General features: G+C 37.2%; 1 protein-coding gene and 1 pseudogene across 11 annotated transcripts in view; both read right to left on the reverse strand.

Annotated features, from left to right (window-relative positions):
* NT5C3A (5'-nucleotidase, cytosolic IIIA) overlaps positions 1-19251 on the reverse strand; it is a 48664-nt gene that overhangs the window by 6493 nt on the left and 22920 nt on the right. For 3 of the 11 annotated variants that reach the window (NM_001374338.1, NM_001374337.1, NM_001002010.5), the window contains exons 2-5: positions 6212-6310; positions 3434-3503; positions 1448-1494; positions 667-752 (exon numbers count right to left, since the gene is read on the reverse strand). In NM_001374338.1, the coding sequence (NP_001361267.1) occupies positions 667-752; positions 1448-1494; positions 3434-3503; positions 6212-6310 (302 nt within the window). Of the gene's footprint in view, positions 1-666; positions 753-1447; positions 1495-3433; positions 3504-6211; positions 6311-9023; positions 9110-15328; positions 15384-19251 lie in introns of all 11 variants that reach the window. The other 8 variants (NM_001374336.1, NM_001356996.3, XM_047420439.1 and 5 more) reach the window with 5 other exon arrangements.
* Positions 15607-15777, reverse strand: RPS29P14 (ribosomal protein S29 pseudogene 14; annotated as a pseudogene).

Genomic DNA, 19251 nt, shown 5'->3' on the forward strand with positions numbered 1-19251 from the left:
GGGACAATAAAGACAAATCATTCCTGGTCTCCTAAGATTTTAAAACAAGTTGTTCCTTCTCAAATCAAAGCATTTTCTATTCCTTGAAATGTTCGTCAAGTGGGAAGGCTCAAATTCCTCTGATCATTCTGGTGGACTACTCTGACTCCTTTTAAGTTTGTCATGATCTATTTTTTTTTTTTTTGGTCACTATTGTCATGGTTTCTCTTAACAGCATTCTTCCAGAATCCGACACAGTGCTTTCAGTGTGATCTGCCTGGAACACTGCATTTTGATTAATGCAACCAAAGGTCGATTTTTGGGTAACCATATCACCTGCTGGCTCTGAGTTCAGACTCAGTTTAAATCCTCATACCTTTTCTTTACACATTAAGCCACGTTTTGTTCATATACTTAAAAAAAAATTCTTGTTTTTAATTTGAGACTTAAATGCAGGACTTTTAATTTATTCCTACTGGACTTCACCTTAAATAAACAAAACAAAAGGATTCCTAAACTGTTAGAGAGATTAGATAATTAGAGCTCATTTTGTTATTCAATGCTCTAACTTGCATAATTTATTAATCTGTTTGTTTGCAATACAGGTAAAAAATAAGCCATCAGTTGTAACTGCAGTGTTGTTTTATTATTTTTTTTTAATCCTCCTACTGCCTAATATACACTTACCATTCCACCATATAAGGGTACTTCTCTTCTACAGTAAGAACAGGATCAACTTCAATAGCGTAATATTTTTCCTTTAGTTGCAATAACTAGGAAGATATGAATAACTTAATCATGAAGATTACTTGAAAATAAATCTGCTTGGTTTTATAGAAAGCAAAACAATGTAAACAAGTATTTTCAACAAACTGCTTTAAAAGTTGAGCTAATGCATCAATTGAAAAAATATTTGTTGATCTTAGTTGACATGTAATCAAATATACCTGCAAAAAGCTACCTTTCTTTTGTAAAGTACTTTCAGATGAGTAAAAACCAACAATAAAATTATCAGTACAAAAAACACTTTAGTTTTCATATAAAGGTATTAAATTTGATTCACATTTCAAATTGCATTTTGTTAAGATATACACAGACACATACATACTCAAGCGAAGTACTGAAGCAACTTCCTCATCAACTTAAAGGAGCAAAACCTATAGAAAACTGAAGTACTTTTGTTTTAAATCTCCAGTTAACGTTACAACACCAGAATACTTTGGTAATCATTTAAGAGTTTTAAATATAAGTTTTGTTGTCAAGTTACTGTGAATTTTTATCTTTAAAATATGTTTTGAATGTGTAATTCATACAGCAAACCTACTATTTACTGAGTGCTTACTATGTGCCAGGTATGGCTGTAAGCACTTTACATCCATTCTTACTTCTGTGAATGCACCTGAAGAAATTCTCAGGCAAAAAGGGTAATGAAGTCTTTGAGTGACTATAGATTGTTGTTAGTGTTTACCTTTTTTCTACATTCATCTGTAACCAGCTTACAGTTGTCAATGATATCTAAAGATAGAAAGCAAAATAAGCATTAAAAGAAATACTCTGATTTATGCTACCACTACTATGAATAATTTGCTATAAAGTAATGGCAAAAAACTCAATTACTTTTGCACCAACCCAATACTTTTAAGTAATGCCAAGTCAACTAGCATGGTTATTATAACTTTTGGTGTCAGTGGTATAATTCACATGACATTGTTAAAGAAGCTAATGGCTTAAAATCTGAGATTCAGTGACTGCTCGCTTACATCACTGAGATAGACAATTCAATATCTTCAAATACTATGAACTGTGTATTGATCACTTCCATTTTCTACTTTGTAATTAAATATAAGAAACACATATGGGAAATACATTTTTTTCGTAATAAAAAGATAATAAATGCTTAACGTAAACATCTGGAAAATCCAGACCACTGTAAAGAAGAAAACAAAAATTGAATGGTAAAAGGTTTTAGCATTCAATAATAAGTAATGAACAATATTTTAGTATATTTCCTTTCAGTCTTAAGATTTCATGTATATCAATTAGATAAGAGATCATACCAAATCTGTAATTTTGAATTTTCTTTTTCATTTCACATTGTAGTCTGCATTTTTCCATGTAATTAAAATTTCTGGTATGTGAGCAGAAAATAATTTATATCATTTCTGCAGCATTAAACTTTTTAGGTTGCTTCCAAGCATCTGCTATTAGTAATAATTTTATGTTGAGCTTAGTCACCATTATTTTTGTGAATAAAGTTTTTTAAAAACTGCATTTGAGATTATTAGAAATTCTCCAAAGAGGACTTAATAGGGCAAAGGATATGAAGATTTTTAGTGTTTTTTTTTTTTTTCGAGACAGGGTCTTGTTTTGTCATCCAGGCTGGAGTGCAGTGGTGCGATTATGGCTCACTATAGACTTGCCCTCCCAGGCTCAAGGACCCTCTCAGCCTCCCAAATGAGTAGCTGGGACCACAGGCATGCCACAATGCCCAGCTAATTTTTTATTTTTTGTAAGAAAAGGTCTTATTATGTTGCTCAGGCTGGTCTCAAACTCCTGGGCTCAAGTGATTATTCCACCTCCACCTCCCGAAGTGCTGGGATTACAGGCGTGAGCCACTGTGCCTGGCGATTTTTAGCATTTTTTTAATACAAGTTATCAAAATAATTTTTCTTTTCCTTTTTTACTTTTTTTTGAGATGAAGTTTCACTCTGTTGCCCAGGCTGGAGCGCAGTTGTGCAATCTTGGCTCACTGCAAACTCCACGTCCCGGGTTCAAGTGATTCTCCTGCCTCAGCCTCCTGAGTAGCTGGGATTACAGGTGCCCGCCACCATGCCCAGCTAATTTTTGTATTTTTAGTAGAGACAGGGTTTCATCATTTTGGTCAGGCTGGTCTTGAACTCCTGACTGCAAATGATCTGCCCGCCTCAGCTTCCCAAAATGCCGAGATTACAGGCATGAGTGACCGCACCCAGCCCCAAAATAATTTTTCAATTTACACATGTACTAAAAGCAAATGAGAGAGTTCATTTCACCGTTTCCCTGTCAGGTTGAAGAGTGTTATTTTAAAAACTCACAGCCAAGTTGGAAAACAAAAAAGACATTAAAATTTGGTAAAATTCCTAGAAAACAAAGTATTTGATAAATGGTGTTTCTTCAGGTTAACCCAAAGTTTACAACCTATTTAAATATTTCTTGAATAATGAATAGACCATATTTGGCAAGAAATATTTCAGGAGTCTCTGATTCCCTTTGCTACCAAAACCATACATGAAAATAACCATTTATATAATATGGGAAAAAAAACCTCAAAAATATAATAAGAAAAAGCAGGTCTCCTCACTGTCAATGTCCAAGAAGAATTTTAAAAACCCAGTTATCTCACAGGTAATATAAAGAGGATCTTAAAATAATGATGACATGCTTTTGTGAATTTGTTTACAAATATCACACTTACTATGACATGTTGGGCATCTTTTCCCTTTATATGAAAATCTACTGAGTGTCATATCAAAGTCCGTTATTATCTGTAAGAAAAGAGTGAAATGCATTATTGTAAACATAGCCCACATGGCCAGAATTTCTCTGTGCTACCCAAACACATACTTCATGCTTTCCTAGATGCATAGGACTGTGCTCAAGTCTCTGGTCCACACTGTTAACTTATTCTCTTTACATTGAATTTTCTCATGCGGTTCCTTTATAAAGTCCTGGGAATAATCTTAACTACAAGGTGCTACCTTGAGTGCCCTAGTGTTTTCACCAAATAAATCTGATTCGTAATTCAGCCATAAAAAACAAAGAGATGCTGTCATCTGCAGCAACATGGGCGAGCCTGGAGGTCATTATCTTAAGTGAAATAAGACAGGCACAGAAAGACAAATATTATATGTTCTTACTCATATGTGAAAACTTAAAAAGTTGATCTCATGGAAACAGAGAGTAGAAAGACGGTTACCAGAGGCTGGGAAGGGTGGGAGGGTTGGTGAGATAAAGAACAGCTGGTTAATGGTTATGAAAATACTGTTAGAAGGAATAAGTTCTAGTGTTTACACAGTGGAATGACTATAGTAAACAGTATTTTATTGTATATTTCAAAACAGCTAGAAGAAAAGATTTAGAATGTTCCCAAAACAAAGAATAAATATTAGAAGTGGCAGATATCCTAATTACCCTGATTTGATTATTGCACATTTTATATACATTTGAAAATATCACATGTACCGCATATATATATACAGTTATTATGTATCGACTTTAAAAATTGAAAAAATCCAGCCAGGCACGGTGGCTCATGCCTGGAATCCCAGCACTTTGGGAGGCCGAGGTGGGGAGATCACTCGAGGTCAGGAGTTTGAGATCAGCCTGGCCAAGATGGTAAAACCTTGTCTCTACTAAAAATACAAAAATAGCCAGGTGTGGTGGCATGTGCCTGTAATCCCAGCTACTCAGGAAGCTGAGGCAGGAGAATCACTTGAACCTGGGAGGCGCAGGTTGCAGTGAGCTAAGATCATGCCACTACACTCCAACCTGGGCGACAGAATAAGACTCCATCTCGAAAAAATAAAACAAAATTAAATAAATAAAAATAAATAAAAATTTGAAAAAATCTGATTAATTGGTATGGGAATTTGCAATTGCAGGTGATATGGCTACTCTTCTCACTAGAGATTTTCGACCAACTTGGTCAATGCACAAAAATGCAGTGGAAGCAATTCAACTATATGAAGCTCTTAGTTACTGATACCATTACATGCTGGATTTAACTTGCTTATTTAAACTATACCAATGAATGAATGCACATTGAAATAGCTGGCCAGCTCTTGAAACTTAGGAGACTGGGTTAAATATTATTTTTCAGAAATGTTTTAAAAAAGGAATAATTTTTTTTTTTACAGAATATCCAGATTGTTGATTTAATTTACATGTAACACATTCCTTTAAAACAGAGACAACTTTTTAAAAACTCAATTATCCCCTTAATAAGGCTGTATCTTAATCTGAACTACTATGATTAAAACATGAAAGAGCAGCATAAAACTAAACACTTTTAAATATTATCCTTAAAATGGTTTAATGCTTGTACACAGCATGAGTTAGCTTCTTACTTAAGACTAATAAAAACTTAAGAGTATTTCAGGATTATTAACTTTTGTTTTTCCAATAGGGTATTCTGTCTGTTTTAGAACAACTCAAGATATATATTTTCTGGATTTTATATTCCTAAAGGATAGGCAAAAACTGTCTACCTAAACTTGCTGTACTCAGATTTTATCAAACAGGAGATGAATGAGTCGGCTTTAACATTAAAAATAAAATAAGGCTGGGCCATGATGGCTCACGCCTGTAATCCCAGCACTTTGGGAGGCCGAGGTGGATGGATCACTTGAGGCCAGGAGTTTGAGACCAGCCTGGCCAACATGGCGAAACCCTGTCTCTACTAAAAATATAAAAATTAGCTGGGTGTGGTGGCAGGCACCTGTAATCCCAGCTGCTCTGGAAGCTGAGGAGGGAAAACTGCTTGAACCGGGAAGCAGAGGTTGCAGTGAGCTGAGATCGTGCCACTGCACTCCAGCCTGAGCAACAGAGTAATACTCAGTCTCAAAAAACAAAAAAATTAGCTGGTTGTGGTGGCTGGCACCTGTAATCCCAGCTGCTCGGGGAGGCGGAGGTACGAAAATCGCCTGAACCCAGGAGGAGCAGGTTGCAGTGAGCCAGGATTGCGCCACTGCACTCCAGGCTGGGCAACAGAGCGAGACTCCATCTCAAAAGAAAAAAAAAAAAAAAAAAAAGAAGCCTTTATTATTAAGCTTTTATTTTTGGAGTGCAGTGGCATGATCTCAACTCATTGCAAACTCCGCCTCCCGGGGTTAAGTGATTAGCCTGCCTCAGCCTCCCAAGTAGCTGGGATTACAGGCATGCGCCACCAGGCCCGGCTAATTTTTGTATTTTTTAGTAGAGACAGAGTTTCACCATGTTGGCCAGGCTGGTCTCGAACTCCTGACCTCAGCCTTGTCCACCCGCCTCGGCCTCCCAAAGTGCTAGGATTACAGGTGTGAGCCACTATGCCCGGCCATTTTTTTTTTTTTTTAAATAGAGATGGGGTCTCACTATGTTGCCCAGGCTGGTCTCGAACTCCTGGGCTCAAGTGATCCTCCTGCTTCAGTCTCCCAAAGTGCTGGAATTACAGGCATGAGCCAACACACACAGCCAAGGCTTCTTGATAATTATTCACCTGAAGTTTGGCAGCTCCTCCTTTGATAAGACCACAGATAATTTCTTCTACTCTTGTAGGGTTCTTGATTCGAACTGAACTTTTCTGGAATTCTGGCATCTAAAAGTAAAAGAAAATTAATTAATTAGTTTTCATTCTTCTTTCCCCAGGTTCCTTTGATACCAAGCAGAAACCTGTCTTATTTAAAGACATAAAAATATTAAGGCATTATTTTTAAAAAGCAAGCCACCACATCAAATTACCGTTTATTTATTTTGTTATTACTTTTTTAGAGATGAGGTCTTGTTTTGTCACCCCGGCTGGAGTGCAGTGGCACAATCCTAGCTCACCGTAGCCTCAAACTCCTGGGCTCAAATGATCCTCCCATCTCAGCCTCCTGAGTAGGTAGAAGGCATGCGCCATCATACCCAGCTAATTTTTAAAATTTTCTGTAGAAGTGAGTGAGGTCTTGCTTTGTTGCTCAGGCTGATCTTGAACTCCTGGCCTCAAGCAATCCTCCCATCTTGGCCTTCCAAAGTCCTGGGATTAAAAGTGTGGGACACCAAGCCCAGCTCCCACATTACCATTTATACACACAAAAATACTTAAAACTTATCAGTATTTTCCAGCTACAGAGTAAGATAAAACTACATTTGTGATTCAATTGCTTTATCAGAAAGTATATATCTTTTTCTAAGTATAAAAGCAATGCACGCTTACCACAGAAATAACAGTAAAAATATAAAAAAGACAATAAAAACTGCCTGGAGTTCAACTACGTGAAGATAAACAAGTAACATTTAAATTTATTTTCTATTAGTTTCATTTCTGTGATTTTCTATTAGTTTCATTTCTGGGTTGTGATGCAATCCAGAGAGCCCAGAAATCATATTTTAACCATGAATACCCCAGCAGCTACCCCTCGATTGATTAATTTTTCTAAAAATCTTAAGATGACTCCCGTTAAGCCTCCATTTTATATAATACAGTAACTAAACTTCCACCCTAATACTAATATAATACCTTCAGCATATCCCTCTGAAACATGCATATATACGCATATAGTTTTAGCTCATCCTCATTATATACTTTTGCATCTGGCTTTTATGAATTAATACATACATTTAGCTTGCCTACATATTTATATTTTAAAATGTTCCTGAGCAGAAAGGAAGCAATTATCACAATTATTCCCCCAAAAGTTTGTCTTTGTATAATTAAAATACATTTAAAATATTTTAAATTTGAAAAGCTGCTTCAAGATCTTTGCTCTTTTTATTGTACTATTTTCCAAATAATATACTGTTCTTGGCACACATTTTACAATAGATTTATTTCAAATGGAGATAACTGCCAAAAAGTATTGTGCCAGGCACAGTGGCACATGCCTGTAATCCCAGCTACTTGGAAGCTGACGATCACTGGAGCCCAGGAGTTTGAGACCAGCCTGGGCAACACAGCAAGACCCATCTTAAAAAATGGGTGTAGGCTGCTACTACAGAGTTATGAAGACTTTAGGGTTGCTCAACAATTTAATCTTAAGTATTATTTCTTGTTACTAGCTATTTTATCACAAATAGAATGAAACTGATTAGAGGAAAAATCAGTACAAGCTCTCATAGCACATGTACAATACAACTAGAAGGAGAAAATTATGCCTCATTTTATAGTCAGTTATACAGCATAGGCAATAATAGTACCTCAAATCCAAGTTCTATACTGGTTTGTACTGGATAATCTTTATTTATATGTTTTTATTCTGGGTATGTTATTAGTAATATTAACATAGTTCATGTGTGTCATGGACATGGTTACAAAAATTCCCTGGACCTTCTATCTTTGCTACAAGAGAATCTCACCACGTAAATCTATCAGATGCCGTGTTGTTCCTACATAATGGGCAAGAGTAGAAAAATCAGAAAAAGGATGGACTGTCTTCCAAAGACTGGAAGATGATAACGAAAGTGTAGAGGAAAGAGGCCGGGCACAGTGGCTCACGCCTGTAATCCCAGCACTTCAGGAGGTCGAGGTGGGCAGATCACGAGGTCAGGAGATCGAGACCATCCTGGCTAACATGGTGAAATACTGTCTCTACTGAAAACATAAAAAATTAGCTGGGCGTGGTGGCGGGTGCCTGTAGTCCCAGCTAGTTGGGAGGCTGAGGCAGGAGAATGGCGTAAACCCGGGAGGCAGAGCTTGAAAAAAAAAAGAAAGTGTAGAGAAAAGACAAATGCTAACATTAAAATTTTCTCCATGGATGAAAGATCTACCACCTACAATATATTTAATTTTAAAAAGCCATATTTAAGTAGGATGACCTGCAATGCAACTAACCTTGATGTAGTAATCCTTTTAACTCAACTGGATGAGTTTCAATGGCTTAAAGGTTATCTATGTATTTTATAGTGATTTTTCAATAGATGGAAAGGCAGATAGGCACTGGTTCCTATTTTTTTTTTTCATACATTAACCCATTCACTCGCCTAACCAATATTTACCATGTGTCTACTTTGTGCCACACACTCTTGCTAAATGCTAGGGATATGATGATGAGTAGTATTTACTCTGCTTTTCTGCTGAGTTTTAGGGACCACTGCTGTTTTGGAATATCACTTCTGTAACTCCCTTACAAATACCTCAGCTAGTAAGTTTATCTCTTGACAACTAATTTCTGTTCTTACCTCAGCCTTAACTGGCAGATGCACAGCAATCAGCATATGTTTGATTCAATAACCAATCCATTATGGTGAAAGCAACACAGGATATATATCATAGACTATTTTTTCACCAAAAAAATTAAATATTTGATTTCAGTGTACCCAAGATGTCTTACCTCAGGCAAATCACAGCTTCAAGTTTTTGATAACGGATAGGAGAATCACACCAAGACCACTTCGAAGAAGGCTGGTTTCTGCTACACTAACAAATGTAAGATTGGTTTATTTTATTTTTATAGAGATAAGGTCTTGCTGTGTTTCCCAGGCTGGTCTCAAACTCCTGGGCTCAAGTGATCTCCCCGCTTCAGCCTCCCAAAGTGCTGGGATTACAGGTGTAAGCCACCATGCCCAGCCAATACTGGTTTACTTTAAATCACAATGGATGAAAGAGAACCAGTAGCTAAAGGCATTGGTGGCTCCTGTGCAACATACAACCATTCATTTTCATTGTGTATTCATAAGTAGTGAATACACAAATGGCACGGGAGTAAAATAATGATGAAATAGGTATAAGAAATATAAAAATGACCATTCTATCTGTCTTGGGTTATATAGTATACTATACTCCTCTCCTGCAATACACAATTAATGTCACTGATCTATATGAGAAATACTTCACAAGAACTTGAGATATGGGGTATTTTACTCAAATACTTTACAATATAGCCTAAGAAAGAGAATCAAAGACTCCTGTATGGAATATGTCAAAGAGTATCATAATATAAGCACACTGTAGAAGTATGATGAAATACATCACATACTTTTTGTTGTGGTGGTTGTTGTTGAACATGCCCCAACTGTTGCATGAGATCACATACTTTTGTTACCTCCACAAAGTCCTTCTGTCTATATCCCTCTTATAAAAACACAGACTTGGTTTGGTGGCATATAAATAATGATACTTCAAATTTGAAGGGCAAGGTATTTTGAATTGTCTGAAAAATTTTCAATTTGATTATGATAAAATTTTATGAAAAATAAATAAGAAGCTAAAAATTTCCATCATTTGTGATAAAAAGAGAACAAATTCATTTTATGGTAAAGCCGCAGCGTAAAATGTTGGGGAGGGAGCAATGCCTTCCTGAAAAGAATCAGGGTATGTTGGTTGATTGATGCCAATCTGAATCAACACCAAAAATGATTAAGAAAGACCTAAAATTCACTTATTTTGACCAATACTTAATATATTTATAGAGATGAAATGGATTTCAAAGTTATGCCATTTTATCCACAACTCAATTGTTTAATATTAGATTTGATATGATCTTGTGGATACACTGGGATAAGATAAAAATGTGAAGCTCTGGCCAGGCGTGGTGGCTCAGGCCTGTAATCCCAGCACTTTGGGAGGCTGAGGCGGGCGGATCACGAGGTCAGGAGATCGAGACCATCCTGGCTAACACGGTGAAACCCTGTCTCTACTAAAAATACAAAAAATTAGCCAGGCGAGGTGGCGGGCGCCTGTAGGCCCAGCTACTCTGGAGGCTGAGGCAGGAGAATGGCATGAACCCCGGGGGGCGGAGCCTGCAGTGAGCCGAGATCGCGCCACTGCACTCCAGCCTGGGCGACAGCGAGACTCTGCCTCAAAAAAAAACAAAAAAAAAAAAAAAGAGAGAAGCTCCATAGTACAGTTACCAAATTTCTGGGTGTGGCTTGGTATCATCAATCCAATGATAATATTCCAGACTAGGGATAATCCTAATTTCCAGGATGAGATTATGACAACTTCAAAGTTTAATTCTGTTTGAACTAGATTTCAAATTATATTAAATTTTGATTAAAAAAGAAAACACGGCCGGGCATGGTGGCTCATGCCTGTAATCCCAGCACTTTAGGAGGCCGAGGCAGGAGGATCACTTGGGCTCAGCAGCTCGAGACCAGGCTGGGCAACGTGGCAAAACCCTGTCTCTACAAACAATACAAAAATTAGCCGGGCATGGTGGTGCACATCTGTAGTCCCAGATACTCGGAGGCTAAGGTGGGAGGATTGCCTGAGCCTGGGAGGCAGAGGTTGCAGTGAGCTGACATCATGCCACTGCACTCCAGCCTGGGTGACACAGTGAGACCCTGTCTCAAAAAAAAAATAAATAAATAAAAAGATTTTGTATTAAAAAACACACATAAATACATTATATTTAAAATAATGAATTATTATTCTTAAACTAAAAATAAAAAACAAAATAAACTAAGGGTTATACAATCCACAATGTACAGAGAAAACAATTCATATTTTAACCAAGACTAAAAAAATTACTTGTACTTTTAATTTATAAATATGTATGTTCATCTATATGAGTTTCATTTATTTATTATTTTTAAAATTTATTTTTGGCCGGGCACGGTGGCTGACGCCTGGAATCCCAGCACTTAGGGAGGCCAAGGCCAGTGGATCACCTAAGGTCAGGAGTTCAAGACCAGCCTGGCCAACATAGTGAAACCCTGTCTCTATTAAAAATACAAAAATTAGCTGGGCATGGTAGCACATGCCTGTAATCCCAGCTACTCTGGAGGGTGAGACAGGAGAATCGCTTGAACCCGGGAGGCAGAGGTTGCAGTGAGCCGAGATGGCACCACTACACTCTAGCCCAAGTGACAGAGCGAGACTCTGTCTCAAAAACAAACAAAAAAAGGCCAGGCACAGTGGCTCATGCCTCTAATACCAGCACTTTGGGAGGCCAAGGCAGGCAGATCACCAGAGGTCGGGAGTTCGAGATCAGCCTGGGTAACATGGTGAAACCCCATCTCTACTAAATATACAAAATTAGCTGGGCATGGTGGCATACACCTGTAACCCTGTTACTTGGGAGGCTGAGGCAAGAGAATTGCTTGAACCCAGGAGGCGGAGGTTGCAGTGAGCCAGGATTTCGCCACTGCACTCCAAGCCTGGGTGACAGAGTGAGACTCGGTCTCCAAAAAAAAAAAAAAAAAAATTTACTTTTATGTTTTTTTATTTTTATTTTTTGAGGCAGGGTCTTGCTCTGTCACCCAGGCTGGAGGGCAGTGGCGTGATCTTGGCTCACTGCAACTTTCCCTCCTGGGCTCAGGTGATCCCCCCACCTCAGACTCTCAAGTAACTGGGACTACAGGGGCTCACCACCACCCTCGGCTAATTTTTGCATTTTTTTGTAGAAACAGGGTTTTGTAGTGTTGCCCAGGCTGGTCTTGAACTCCTGGACTCAAGCAATCTGCCTGCCTCAGCATCCCAAAGTGTTGGGATTACAGGCATCAGCCACTGCACCTGACCTATTTTAAAATTTTTGAGACAAGGTCTCACTCTGTCACCCAGGATGGAGTGCAGTAGCGTGATCACAGCTCACTGCAGACTTGACCTCCTGGGCTCAATAGATCCTCCCACCTTAGCCTCCAGAGTAGCTGGGACTACAGCCATCTGCCACTATGCCCAGGTATTTTTTTAATTTTTGTAGAGACGGGTCTCACTATGTTGCCCAGGCTGGTCTCAAACTCCTGAGCTCAAGCGATCCTCTTGCCTTGGCCTCCCAAAATGCTGGGATTACAGGCATGAGCCACAGTGCCCAGCCTCAGTGAATTTTAAATCACCTTAGTATTATCCTACATTTTTCTGGAAATAGCCCACATAAAAATTAGTTTGAATCACTTAAGAAATTCCAGTCAGATGTTCTCAGAGAAATATTCTTTCTTGGTTTTCCATTGTTTATATTTGGTAGCAACAAAAGACTTCATTACTGCAGTGGTACAAAGAAGTAGGCACTAGAGTTTTTATCCAGCTACACAGAAAGTATAGATTTAAAGCCACCTATTCAAACTGGTACATTTACCCCCACACATAGATGATTCTCAGATTTATTTGGAAGATTATGCACTACTAAATTTTAGTAATAGCGATTTCCCTTGCTTATTACATATTTGGTCTGTTTCTACATTAAGATAGTGTAGGCCAAATTCTTTCATTCCTTCACCACATATTAAGTATAAGACAGTGTGTGAAGCCGCTCTGTAAGAGATATATAAAATATAAATCTTACACTCAAGGTGCATATTCTCTAATGTGGATTAAAAAATAGAAACCCAAATAATTAATACATTGCCAAGATGTCCAGATAAAATGTAAAAGGAATAGAAGAAACAAAGATTTCTTCTTCTGGGGTCAAAGGAGGAAGAGCCAACAGAGGTAGGCTCTGGAAGAGAAACAGGATTTAGATATGCTGAGATTAGGGAGGAATCAAAGTGCAGGGTCTAATATGGGAAAAAGAGAAATAGCTCTGTTTGTATAGAACTTGAGTGTACACAGAGAAGTGTGCATGTAAAAAGTCTGGACAGAGAGATCTGAATCCTGTTCATGAGAAGTAAAGAATAACATGCTATAAAGTTGTCAATATAAAAGACATATATATATATATATAATTTTTTTTTTTTTTGAGAGGGAGTCTCGCATTGTCGCCCAGATTGGAGTGCAGTGGCGCCTCTCAGCTCACTGCAAGCTCCGCCTCCTGGGTTCATGCCATTCTCCTGCCTCAGCCTCCCGAGTAGCTGGGACTACAGGTGCCCGCCACCACGCCTGGATAATTTTTTTGTATTTTTAGTAGGGACGGGGTTTCACCATGTTAGCCAGGATGGTCTCGATCTCCTGACCTCATGATCTGCCCACCTCGGCCTCTCAAAGTGCTGGGATTACAGGCGTGAGCCACCGCGCCCGGCCAGACCTATCAATATTTTTAGGAAAGCAAACCCAAGGTAAAAATTGTGTAAATTAATGCAATAATAGTTAAAAAAAATCTTTTGGCTTGTTTTCCTTCAACAGTCTGAATAACTGTGGAGTGAATACACTGCTACTTGCCTCCACAAACACCTTCTAGAGGGCTCTAGGACCCAAGTAACAACATTATACAAAGAGGATTAACATTGTTTATATGTCAGGGAATTCCTATACTGCTTGTGTTCACGTAAGTTAAAAAAAAAGTCAACCCAAACAAGAAAATAAGTTTTAGACTGGTTTAATTCTATGTATCAAAGAGATATGCTCAATTCCAATGAATCAAGTGCCAATCCTTCAATGGATAGAAAGAGCTGTTATTAGGTTGAACCATATAAAACTGGCAATACTGGACTATATTTGACATATAAAAACAATTTCATACGCTTCAACCTAAGAGCAATAACTAAACTGACGATGACTTAATCACCATTTTGAGTCAACTTTCACCTTTGATCCTACACTGGTTGGGGGAAAGATGAACAAGAGATTTATTAAGCGTGACAAAATGCTGTGTCACGCTCTAGTTTATAGGCCAGAAAAAAGCTAGAGAGAAAGAGAAAGCTGAAAAAATAAATGGAACAGAAGAGGAGGCACAACAATAATAAGAACACAAAGAGAAAACAAGAGATCATGAGGCAGTTGTTCTCTTTAAAAGAAAGGATTATTTTTAATTGTTGTTTTTAAGATTTTATCACTGTGAATATGGAGAACAGATGTAATTTCTTTCCACACATGCAAATAAATATGCCAGTTACACAGTTAAAACACTCACTAACGTAATAGAGTAGATCAATATTTAATGAATGCTTAATCTGGGGTTACTAGGAACTTGACGTTTTCACTGAGTATGAATAATAACACATAGTTGGCGGTTTCACACCCATTTCTTAAAGGTAAGATTACTGCTCTCATTCAGGGCTATAGAAGCTAATAAGGAATGAGTTTTTTTTTTTTTTTTTTTTTTGAGACGGAATCTCGCTCTGTCGCCCAGGCTGGAGTGCAGTGGCGCAATCTTGGCTCACTGCAACCTTCGCCTCCTGGGTTCAAGCCATCCTCCTGCCTCAGCCTCCAGAGCAGCTGGGACTACAGGAGCTTGTTACCATGCCCGGCTAATTTTTTGTATTTTTAGTAGAGATGGGGTTTCACTGTATTAGCCAGGATGGTCTCGATCTCCTGACCTGGTGATCCGCCCGCCTCGGCCTCCCAAAGTGCTGGGATTACAGGCACCCGGCCGGAATGAGTTAAGATACGAAGCCAGTTCTGACTCCAAAGCCTGTACATTTCCTATCTCATCCTAGTATATATAATGCAACTCTATTGTCATGCAAGTAAGTATTTTAAAAATTTCTGAATGCTTGTCATTTAAATTTGGAAACCTACAATAATGTATTTCACACTGTACGATTTAAGTGTGTTATTGCTGAGCAAAGAAAATTTAGCGTAAAAAGGAATGGGGAAACATTTTATATTCTGAGAAGCACGACAATGTGCATTAGATTTCAAGCAAAAACATTTTAAAGATAATTTGAAATTCAATTCAATAAGTATTTGAGGTTTATTTTGTGATGCACTGTGAAGAAAGAGTTGTATAAAATTTCAGTCCCATAATTATCTGGTTAGAGACAGAGGTAAAAGTGGTGAAGATTTACCATTAATAAATGGAACTGGAAATAGGCAAATACCCACCATTTTCACATGTACGGCAGACTCTTGATTAGTCATTTCTTGGTTATCCAATCTTCTGGATTTTCCCAGGTGATGTCACAGCAAAAGAGAAAAAAAAAAGTACACGTGACATACATAAATTTCAGGTTCTTCCTGTTATGCCAATAATATATTAAGGTGGAATTTTTGGTATGACTTATTTATTTTGTTTTTTAAAAATGTTTATTTTATGTACAAAGAACTAACATGGTTTCTTTCATTGGGTGGATGCCTTGGATAATCCATTCAAGGAAGATCACTTAGTCCAACTCAATGAAACCTATGTCCTTTGCATACTGATGGAAACACCGGCGGCACATATTGAGGCCGTGTTTCCAGATCAGACTATGCTGGTTTGGGCAGATGTGACAAGAGTGAGAACCCTGGCCCAGCTTCCGTGGGTGGCTCCAGTAGGGCTGCTGGTGACCCATCTTGCTTTCGGGAGTGCAATGAGGCAAAAGGCTTTGCTATGATTTAACATAGCCTATATTTGACACATAAAGCATCTTTTTTTTTTTTCTAAGAAGCTCAGCAAGGGTTTTACTCTATCCAGCATAGTTTTAGATTAACCATTTTGTATGGAGAATCTGAAGCTCTCCTGTAAGAACTTATATGGTATTAAGAAAATTGAATAAACAGTGAAAATGAAGTACATATTTGCAAAGAGCACTTTATTGCAAGAATATTTTATCAACACTTTCTCTACATGTAAGGATGAAGTTTGTGGGAAAATTATGCATTGCTACTACCGAATCAATATAGGAATATACAGACAGAACAAAGTAAGGGAAGACATAACACAAAAGTCCATTTTTTCCTTCAATTTTCTTACATTAAAATTTTATTTTTATTTTTTTATTTTTTATTTTTATTTTTTTTGAGATGCAGTCTTGCTCTGTTGCCAGGCTGGAGTGCAGTGGCATGATCTCAGCTCACTGCAACCTCTGATTCCCGGGTTCAAGTGATTCTCCTGCCTCAGCCTCCCAAGTAGCTGGGATTACAGGCGCATGCCGCCACGCCTGGTTAATTTTTGTATTTTTAGTAGAGATGGGGTTTCACCATGTTGGCCAGGATGGCCTCGATCTCCTGACCTCGTGATCCACCCGCCTCTGCCTCCCAAAGTGCTGGGATTACAGGCATGAGCCACTGCGCCCGGCCTAAAATCTTTAATTTTTTAATATGATATGACTAAGACATGAGCTGTATTTGAATCGAGCATTGTGTCTAGCACAAAATAGGTATGTGAGAGTGTTTATCAACTGAATGAACCTTTTAGGGTCTGGGTGAAGTTTAAATATATCTGTTCATCAAACAAAAGGAACCAGTTTTTAAAACATCTCTCATCATTATTCTAAGATTTTTGGTTGTTGCTGTGTTGGTAGTATAAATCTTAGGGAAAATTACTAAGCTATGTTTGTTCCATAATGACTTTACTTTTACTTTATTTCAGATAAGTAAAATTTTATAATTAAAGCACTATTTAAAAATGGCAACTTAGTTGAAAGCGAGAACATATCTGACTTTTTCTTAAACTCTAGTAATATAAGTTGGACATTAGATCTGTGTTCTTTATAATTAAAAGGTGTTATAGCAGATATATCAAATTTTCTCAAATTCTAAAATTCGGTCCCTACTCCCTTCCATTTTAAGTCCATGAAATTACAAAATGTCTTTTTCTCCCTCTCTCAGAAAGCCTGCTAGTAAGTTGATAGTCTCATAATTGACGGCATCTTAGAATTGAGTAAACACGATTTCCAAACAGTAAGATGATAACTTGCAATTTTTCACATCTGAAAAAGAATGTATCTGCAGTATGAGTGTGTGTATATATATCGATATAAAGATGTGTATGTGTATATATCTTTGTACAGCTATATATATACACACATACACTATATAACTCATAAAACATTTGATCACCACCCTCAAAATATAATGGTAGTTTGGGGATTAGTAGTCTTTAGCTTAGATGATTATAGTCAAGTTTAAGTAGACTTTCCTTGGTCTAACTTTTTTCTGTCACAGTCATCCAGATTTTTAACAAACAAGATATTATAGAAGCTGCATGCAAGTCTATTTCTTCATTCATAGCAATCAAAGCCTAATTATTAAATGCTTACAGCTTTTCTTTGATGTTTAATATGTGAAAAGCAGTCTAGATTTCTCAAAGAGCACTATTTAAATAAAACTATCTCATTAGCTTGAAAAAAAGGAATAGTGTGGAGACTGTGGAAAAGTACTGTAGAGTTTACAAAAATACCGCATAATCTGTGAAACATTTGAAAAGCCCAAGGGCAAACAATTCACACAGTGAAGAATTAAACACATTTTAATATCTAGGAATCTAAGATCTTTTTGTTACACATTCAGGTAGTAGAAATCCTCTTTATTCTCTACCTCTGAAGTATGGCTCTTTTTGGAACATACATTTTGAGTTTAAAGGGGAAAAAAGTCAGTATAAGTTGGTAAAAGAATGATCATCTTTCTCATGGTCTCATCAAATAAAAACAAAGAGTGATAAGAAATTTGATGGCCAACTTTAGGACCTTTTTTTTTTTTTTGGTAAGTATACCAACAATTCATGAATACTATGCAAATTTCAACTAAAGATCTTTCATTCTTGCCAGTCCTCACTAGCAATCTGACCAGAATTTATCTTTGTTCAAAGATAATCTCACATAAAGTGATACTGCAGTCCTTATACAAAAATTACTCTAAGGTCTTATCATTTAAAAAGTGTAAAGACTCAGGTGTAAAATGTCAGCATTCTGGCACTATTCTAAGGAAGACACTGAAAATTAGGGCAGAGTATTTTTAAACCAATAGGCTTGTAAACCTATACCTGGTATATAAAGTTCTGGCTTACTTTGCCAATGGTCATCTGTTGCAGATGCTTCAAGAGAAGAGTTGCTGGAAAAAACACATCAAGTGTAGAAGACGTGTTCAAAAATAGAAAATACTGCCCTTGATCTACGAACTCTCTTCAAAGGAAGTTTTAACATTTTAAGTCTTCAGAGTCTTTAAATGTGAACTGGAAAATGTGGAAACTGGAAAATAATTACTTTGTGTGCTTTTTGTATGAGATTAAGGTCTCTACTATAGCAGAGTTCTTTACAAGGAATATGTAGGACAAGTCTAAAGACTGAAGCAAGAGGTAAGAACTTCACTTAACACAAACTTGATAACTGAAAACTTTAGTTATCACAGTATTTCATTCTGATGATAGTTTACAAGTCAATTAATGAAAATTGATTGGTATGTCTACATGAAAAAAAATTACCTGATTTAAAGCAAGTCTTAAAGTACCTGAATGCAAACTGATTACTTTTAAAGGTCTACTTGACTCTGTCTTACAGGAAAGTGAAAAAGATTAAATTCATGAATATAGCTTTAAAAACTGTGACTGCTTTAATTGTGATACTCGCAGAAACATGTAAACTACATTGATAAGGTAATAAAATTGTGAATGCTAAACTGTGTATTACTCACATAAGAAAAGGCATATATTACCATAATATGGACACAGTATCCGCAACAGTACCAAACATCAATTTTTCCTATACTTTTTCAGTAACCTGTACTATTTGACTTTCTTAAGCTTGGGTTTTTTGTTTTTTTTTTTTTTTAATGTTACTGTCTTCGGGTGATTAGCACATGCAAAATCAAACTGTAACTTCATCTTTTCTGTATGGCTGTAATAATTTGGTGGGGCATTTAAATAATTCTTCCTAATTAGATTTTCAACTCAGCGGTGGGGAAAAAGAAACACACACGCTGCAAAGTGAAACTTTCTCAATACAGGCATAAAACAAAAATGAAACTAAATAGCAAAGAGTGGGAGGGGTAGAAGAGATATAGGAGGAAAGAGGAAAAAACAGATTTCAAAAGCTAGTTATTTAAAAATG

The sequence above is a fragment of the Homo sapiens genome, chromosome 7 (assembly GCF_000001405.40).
Source record: "Homo sapiens chromosome 7, GRCh38.p14 Primary Assembly".
Classification (NCBI taxonomy): Eukaryota; Metazoa; Chordata; class Mammalia; order Primates; family Hominidae; genus Homo; species Homo sapiens.